The 8457-nt window shown below is 48.1% G+C and overlaps 1 long non-coding RNA gene and 2 pseudogenes across 1 annotated transcript; 2 read left to right on the top strand and 1 right to left on the bottom strand.

Moving 5' to 3' along the window:
* Positions 1-1783: 1783 nt before the first annotated feature.
* LOC105377220 (uncharacterized) lies at positions 1784-6477 on the bottom strand. Its single transcript, XR_001756063.1, has 3 exons — positions 5703-6477; positions 4361-4489; positions 1784-3650 (listed from the first exon to the last, which is right to left on the bottom strand). It is a non-coding gene; the product is annotated as an uncharacterized LOC105377220 (long non-coding RNA).
* On the top strand, positions 5403-5715 carry RNA5SP523 (RNA, 5S ribosomal pseudogene 523; annotated as a pseudogene).
* RNA5SP522 (RNA, 5S ribosomal pseudogene 522) lies at positions 7312-7627 on the top strand (annotated as a pseudogene).

Below are 8457 nucleotides of genomic sequence, written 5' to 3'. Positions count from 1 at the left end.
ATAGTTTTCCTGGGTGCCATGGGGCTACTTGGGACCTAGAATTACCAGGGGAAGACATTAGTGATGCTACCTGTGTCATAGTTCCAAAATTCTGTTCCGTAATTTAAAACCTTAAAGTCATGTTAAATTAAGTAATAGATAATTATAAAATGTCTTGAGTCATTTGTAAGCTAAAATAATGAAATAGTCACCACTAAAAATTAGGTCTATATGCCATGATATACTACTTGTATATGGTATAGAAAACCTAAATATCTTTGGTTCTGTTAATAAACAATAATTTGAAGAACTATATTTCTTTACAAGTATAAAATGGTTTCTATCTAAAAATACTGATATAAGACAGTTGAAAATCACTTTTTAGGGTTTTCACTGAAAATTGGGGTTACTAAGACTTAATTACTAGATATGAGAGAAACAATTCTGTAATCAGACTGTATGAAAAAGCAAGATATGATTCTTTATTGTTATTATTATTATTATTTTAGACCGAGTCCTGTTCTGTTGCCCAGGCTGGCATGCAGTGGCATGATCTCAGCTCACTGCAAACTCTGCCTCCTGGGTTCAAGCGATTCACCTGCCTCAGCCTCCCAAGTAGCTAGGATTACAGGTGCTCACCACCACACTGGGCTAATTTTTGTATTTTTAGTACAGACAGGGTTTCACCATGTTGGCCAGGCTGGTCTCAATCCCTAGACCTCAACTGATGCACCTGTCTTGGCCTCCCAAAGTGCTGGGATTACAGACTTGTGAAGATAAACTTTTGATTAGAAAACTTATAAAGGCAAAAAATGTGTTTTAATTTTTTTAAGTTACTTAAGGTTTCAAATTGAAGAAGTAAAAAATAGATACAACTAGATAAATAGAGAAAGTTGGGGGAAAATCTAAAGCATAGGCTCACAAAAATCTGGGATTCAAAGATGACACATTTGATAAATTTATTTATAAAATTTTATTAAATGAACTTCAGAGGCCTGGTGTGGTGGGTCACTCCTGTAAATAATAAAATTTTCTTGTCAACTGTGTCTATGAAAATTTAAAATCATTTCTACAGTAAATTGCTTAATTGTGAGGCATTTCAAATTCTGAAAACTTTACAAGCTTGCAAAATTATAGAATACTGTATCTTTAAGGAGTTTCATGAAAGGATGGAAAAGGTCCTGAGAAGTATTCTTGAATACAGATTTTTGACAACGTTAGAATCATATCATTTGAACAGGGTAAGAATTCCCAGAACTTTAATGAAGACTGATTGGTTTATAAAACTACTACAGCAAACAGAGTAAAAATCAATTGAATACCAAGAAAATAGTTTGTCAGATTTTCATGCCAAATCAGCCAGTACTTAAATTGTCTAGATAAAGTATTTGAATGAACTCTATATTCCAAGTCAAATTATCTATGATAATCCCTGATTAGTCACTGTTATGCACCTAAGTTGAAGAAACAGTCCAATGTTAAACGTACAGAACCAGGACATCTTCTACGTCCTTCCTGGTTCTGAAAGCTTTTCTTATTGAAAGTTCTTCATTCTGATTCTTGGCTGCAAAGGTAACACAAGATGGCAGAAAGAAGGCTCCACTGATCTTCCCTCCTGCAAGGACACCAGATGCACAACTATTAACGTCTACATAGAAAATACATTCATAAGAACCAAAAATCAGTTGAGTACTCAAAGTACCTGGTTTTAACTTCATATCACTGAAAGAGGCACCATTTCCTCACCACCAGCAGTGATGGCGTGGTGCAGAGATCAACTCTGGGTTCTGCAGGAGGGAGAACACAGAAATTTTAAGACATTGAACTCTGTGCTGCCCTGTTAGACCAGAAAGGAAAACCAAACCAAATGCAGCTAAAGCCCATCCACAGAGGGATTATTTAAACCAGCCCTGGCCAGAGGGGAATGAGATTTCGGTGGTTGGAACTTGAGCATTTGGAAATCTGGGTACTGAGGGCTCCAGAGCTCCATGTATCTAAGAAAACTTGAAAGGCAGCCTAGGCCATCAGGACTGCAACTCTTAGGTGAGGCCTAGGGCTGAACTGGACCCAGGAACAGTCAACTAAGGTGGGAGGTCATGCAACATACTGAGACACCAGCTGGGGCAGCCAAAGGGGTTCTGGAATTATCACTCTCCTAATACCAGGCTGCACAGCTTATAGCTCCAAAAGGGACCCCATCCTTCTGCTTGAGGAGAGGAGGAAAAAGAGTAGGGAGGACTTTGTCTTCCATCCTGGATACCAGCTCAACCACAGCAAGATAGTGCACTGGTCAGAGTCCTGAGTCCTCCTTTCCAGGCTCTGGCTCCTAGACATTCCAAGACACACCCCGGGCCAGAAGGAAACCTGCTGCCTTGAAGGAAAGAACCCAGTGCTGGCAGCATTTATCACCTGCAAACTTAACAACCTTTGGGCCCTGAATAACCAGCAGCCATACCCAGATACTACATCAAGAGGCTTGTGTGAGCCTCATAGACTTACTAGATTTAGGTGAGATTCAGCACATTACAAGCTGTGGTATCTAAGGGGCAAAACTCCTTTTGCTTGGGAAAGGCAGAGGGAAAAGTAAAGGGGACTTTTTCATGCCACTTAAGTACCGGCAAGGCCAGAGGTGGGTAGAGCACCAAGAAAGGTTTTGGGATCCCTGATTCTAGGACTTGATTCTTGGTTGGCATATATGAACCTGCCCAGGGCCAGTGGGGAGACCAGTGGCCTGAAAACGGCAAGTCCCAGTCCAGGCAATATTCATCACAAGCGGAAAAGAGGATTTGGGCCTTAAAGGAACAAAGGTGGTAACATGGCAGTACTCCTTGTGGCCTGGGGTGCTTGGGGCTACTCTGCCTTTGGAAAAGGAAAGGAGGTAATAGGAAGGGCTGTGTCTTGTGGTTTGAATGCCAGCTCAGCTGGAATGCAATAGAATGTCCGGTGGACTTCTGAAATTTTTGACTTTACTCCCTGACTTCCGAATGGCACTTCTGGACCCAGCCAGGGACTGAGGAAACTCGCTGCCCTGAAGGAAAGAGCACAGATATGGCTGGCTTTGCCACCTGCTAATTGCAGAGACCAAAGGCCTTGAGTGAACATAGACAGTTGTCAGAAAGTGCGTGCAGCAGGACTTGAGCAAGACCCGGTGCTATGCCAGCTTCAGGTCTGACCCAGGGCAGCCAGTGGTGGCGGCCAGGGGTGCTCGTGTCATTCTCCTCCCAACTTTAGGTGGCTTAGAATAGAGAGAAAGACTCTGTATCTTTGAGGGAAAATAAGGTTAGAGAACAAGAGTCTCTGGCTACTAATCCAGAAAATTTTCCTGGATATTGTCCAAGACTGTCAAGGTGGTACATCAATGAGACTGCAAAAATTACAGCACTATTGGGTATACGGTGCCCCCTAAAGCAGATATGGCTTAGATCACAACACCTGCCTTTTCAAATATGTGGAAATCCTTCCCAAGAAAGATAGCTACGAATAACCCCACACAGTGAAGTCTACAATTAATGCTCATCTTTTTTTTAAAAAAAATCTTTTTTTCACATCTTATGTGGTGCTGCATGCCAAAGTTTTAATGTCCAGACACTGAAGAACATCTGCTAGCATTGTCACCATCCAGGAAAACATGACCTCACAAAGTGAATGAAGTAAGGCATCAGCGACAAATCCTGGAGAAAAAGAGATATGTAATCTTTCAGACAGAAAATTCAAAATAGCTGTATTTTTAAAAACTCACAGAAATCTAAGATAACAAAGTAAAGAAATTCCAAATTTTATCAGCTAAACTCAACAAAGAGATTGAAATAGTTACAACAAATTAAGCAAAAATTCAGGAGCTGGAAAATGCAACTGGCATGCTGAAGAATGCATTAAAGCCATTTAACAGCAGAATGGATCCAGCAGAAGAAATGGTGAACTTGAAGACAGGCTATGTGAAAATATATATTTAGAAGAGACAAAAGAAAAAGAATAAAAACAACAAATAATGCCTACAAGATCTGGAAAATAGCCTCACAAAGATAGGCCTAAGAGTTATTGGTTTTAAAGAAGACGTATAGAAAGAGACAGGGATAGGAAAATTTATTCAAAGGGATAATAATAGAAAACTTCCAAACCTAGAGAAAGATATCCAAATCCAATCACAGAAATATTATAGAACATTAAACAGATTAAATTCTAAAAAGACTACTTCAAAACATTCCATAGCCAGTTTTCAAAAAGTCAAAGAAAAAGAAAAGTTCTAAAAAAGAAAGACAAAAGAAAGAAATAATATACAGGAGAGCTCCAACACATCAGGCAGCAGACTTTACAGAGGAAACCCTGCCGGCCAGGAGAAAGAAGCAATAAATATTTAAAGCACTAAAGAAAATAGCTTTACCTTAGAATAGCATATACAGCGAAAATGTCCTTCAAATAATAAGAAGAAATACTGACTTTTCCAGACAAACAAAAGTTGAAGGATTTCATCAATACCATGACTGTCCTACAAGGAATGCTGAAGGGAGTACTTCAATCAGGAAGAAAAGGACATTAATGAGCAAGAAATAATCAACTGAAGGTAAAAAAAAAAAAAAAAAAAAAAAAAAAAAAAATCCTCATTGATAATGGTAACTATACAAAATAAAACAATATTATAACACTATAGCTGTGGTGTGTAAACTACTCATTCTAAGTAGGAAGACTGAATAATAAACCAAACAAAAGTAATAACTACAAGAACGTTTCAGCCGGGTGCAGTGGCTCACGCCTGTAATTCCAGAACTTTGGGAGGCCAAGGCGGGGGAATCACGAGGTCAGGAGATCGAGATCGTCCTGGCTAACAAGATGAAACCCCTTTTCTACTAAAAATACAAAAAATTAGCCGGGCCTGGTGCTGGGCGCCTGTAGTCCCAGCTACTCGGGAGACTGAGGCAGGAGAATGGTGTGAACCAGGTAGGCGGAGCTTGCAGTGAGCCGAGATCGAGCCATTGCACTCCAGCCTGGGCAAGAGAGCAAGACTCCGTCTCAAAAAAAACAAAAAACAAAAAACAGAAAACAAAAAACAAAAACAAAATAAAAAGGAACGTTTCAAAACATAGTACAAAAAAATATAAATAGAAAAAACAAAAAGGCAAAAAGTGAAGGGATGAGCACACCCGTCCTGAGGGGCCTGTTGTGATGGAAGCTCGGGAGCCGGGTGAAGGCCTGGAGCGTGAGCAGAAGGGGGCCGCCCGGACAGCCCAAAGACTGGGCATGGGACGGAGACCTCTGGCTCCCCCGAGCAGGAGCAGCACGGCGCCTTGGCCGTCCTGCGGGAGGCCAGGCCACCGGCGACGGCAGGAGGCTCTAGGAGGCCAGAGGAAGGCACAGAGGGGTGGCCAGCAGTGCTCAGAAAAATAGAAGAGGAGAGCAGCCCTGCCACTGGCGAGCGCTTGGGGATCCTGGATCCAAGCCCAGCAGCCCCGGGGTGGCAATGACGCCTGGAGTCGAGCGGGGCGTGGCTGTGCCGGGCTCTTGAGGCATCCAGGCCCCTCTGCCAGCGCCTACAGCCATATCACCCTGTCCAGTCTCGTCTGACCTCGGAAGCTAAGTAGGGTGGGTCCTGGTTAGTACCTGGATGGGAGGACGCCCAGGAATGTTGGGTGCTGTAGGCTTTTGTCCTCCCCCTCCCTCCCTCTTTCCCCCTTTTGTCGCCATGCTTCACAAACTTCCCCTAACTCTGCTCCCACTTTTCCTCTCACCTGCGGCCCCAAAGCAACCCGGGACCTCCTCGTGGGGTTCCACCGCTGCAGCACCGCCAGGCAACAGCATCCCACATCCTCCTTCTTGCTGCAGCCCCACCAGGTGCCCGGCTCCAGCCGTGGCAGGACGGTATATGTTCCCTGAGGTGACCCGTGTCTTCACGCTCCCGGGACGCCCAGGCAATTCAATTTACTCATCTGGCACCATGCAATAGTTCAAGCCGGTGGGGGAAGTGGCGGCCAGGGACAGAGGTCCCACAGACACCATCCAAAACCTCTGCTCCTGGACCTATGGGCTGCTTTCCCCAGGGGAAGGACATTGCCTTCGCCAGTCACGAGGCAATCCGTCTCTGTGCACCCGGATTCCCATTGGCACCGTCTTCGTGTCAACTCCAGTCCTGAGGACACGAGAGAGACCCAGGCCTCGGCCCGGTCGGCACGCTCTGCGCCAGGGCTCCCACCAGAGGGAAGGACGCACTCTCCAAATCTCGGTGCCCACTGCACCAAGAAGATAGGGAGTAGCCAACAAAAGGACCCTATGAAACGCACCCCAAAAGCAAGCAACCAATCCAAGCAAAAATACGTCTCAGGGTTCTGTTGGTCCTCTTGCATGGGCGGCCTGCCCACCTGTTCCCGCCAGGCTCAAGCACCCTCCACCCTACCCCTGCTGGAAGGAGCCCTGTCTACGAGAGCAGAGAGCTCCCTCTCCCAGGCTTTAATGCTCTGGCTCTCTAGTTCTGTCACCCTCTCTCTATTTCTCTCCTGCTCCCTCCATCTCATGCTCTTTCTGTCACCTTCTCTCTCTTTCTTTCTCCCTCTCATTCCTGTCTCTCTCTCTCTCTCTAGCTCTCTCTCCCTCAGTTTCTATCTCTCCATCCCTCTTTCCCTTGATCTCCTTCAAGCTGTCTATCTGTATCTTTGTGTATCTGTGTGTGTCTCTGTGTGCCCGCGAGCGTGCATCCATGTGTGTCTGTGGGGGTGGGGGTGGGTTTCTTCTTGGTGCTGGTGAGGTGTGTCTGGCTGTCCATCAGCCTCTCTCTCCCGCAATCAGTCGGCTAGCTCCAGTGGCAGCGCGGGGCAAAGCAGCTCCCCCCACTCACTTGGCCATGGGCCATGTCCTTGTCCGGACAAGCGACCCTGTTAGGGACGTTGTAAGAGAAAGGGCCCATGGGGCTAGGCCACCTGTTCACCCTTGAGCAGCCCTGGCAGCACTGGGTGGGTGAGGAGAGAGGGGGCCTTGCAGGAGGGGCGGCGAGGGAACCAAAACAATCCCTCCGTGGCAAGGAGGACAGAAGGGTATCCCTGACTCCTGGGAGCACAAGCTCAGCAAGCCCGATGTGGTGGAAGCTTGGGAGTTCATGAGCCTGGGGAAGCCCTGAAGCGTCGGAGGAATGGAGACCAACCAGAGAGCCCGAAGTCTGTGCAGCGGATGGACACCTCTGGCGTCCTCACTCAGCAGCAGGGCGGCGCCGAGATGGTCCAGTGCATGGCCTTGTCTGCTATGGCTGGAGCCCTTGGAAGCCGGCAGAAGGTGCAGCGCGGTGGCCCACAGTGCTCCGGCGTGGAGGGGGAGAGCAGCCGAGCAGCAGGCGAGGAGTGGCTTAGAGTTGTCCCGATCCAAGCCGCGTGGCTTTGGAGTGGCGGTAATGCCTGGAGTCTGGCGGGCATGGTGGGCCAGGCTCTTGTGTCAGCCAGGTATCACTGCGGGTGTCTAAGGCCTTACCGCCCTGAGACACCTGATCTCTGGCCTGTGACGCTAAGCAGGGTGGGGCCTGGTTCAGTACTTGGAAGAGAGACCGCCTGGGAATACAAGGTGCTGTAGGCTTTTGGCTTCCCGCTCCCTCTTTCTCCCTTTTGTGCCCTACTTCCCAACCACTCCCTGACTCTGCTACCCATTTTCCACCTGCCTGCGTCCCCACCGCACACCAGGACCTCCTCGTACACCGCCGGGCAGCAGCATCCCACCTCTTCTGCCTTGCTGCAGCTCCACAAGGTCCCCAGCTCTAGGCAGGGCGGGGCAGGCCAGCACCAGACCCCAAAGGCGCAGGCCCAGGTTCCCTGCCATGCTGGTTGTCTTCCTGCTCCAGGAAGGCCTAGGTAATTTAATTCACTCATCTGGCGCCGCCGCAAACGCCCGAGGCTGGGGAAGGGGTGGGCAGGGGCAGAGGGTCCCACAGACGCCAGCCAAGACCTCCTCCAGAACGCACGGGCTGCTTTTTCCAGGGAAGAACATTGCCTTTGCCAGCTACCAGGGAAACATCCTTGTGAACCCGGATTCCCATGGCCACCAACTTCGTGTAAACTCCTGTTGTGAGGACACGAGAGACACCCAGGCCTCAGGCAAGGATTCCCTGGCTTGCACCCAGGGTGCCTGTCTCACCCACGGGGGCACCCTAAAGTGTCAAGAAGGCAGCGGGGGATGGGAGCTGGCTTTAAAGGGGACGTTGAGGCAGTCCGTGGAAAAACTTCTCAGGGAAGACAGTGCATTCCGGGCAGCCCCTGCGGCGGGCTGGGGGGCCCTGGAGTCCCTGTCTTGCACAAAGGTTGTGTGTCTCGCCCTCAGGGGGCACCCCATAGCAACAACAATTCCCCTGGGGAAAAGTACCCCGCTTGAAAGACACGCCCCCTGGGTGCAAGCCAGGGACTCCACGACCACCCCGAGTCCGGCACAGACACTGCCGGGAAGGCACTGTTCTCCATGGGATTGTTTTCCCTCCCGACTGCCTCAACGTCTCCTTTCAAGCCTGGCCTCCTG

The sequence above is a fragment of the Homo sapiens genome, chromosome Y, assembly GCF_000001405.40.
Source record: "Homo sapiens chromosome Y, GRCh38.p14 Primary Assembly".
Classification (NCBI taxonomy): Eukaryota; Metazoa; Chordata; class Mammalia; order Primates; family Hominidae; genus Homo; species Homo sapiens.
This window is presented reverse-complemented; position numbering and strand designations above follow the sequence as displayed.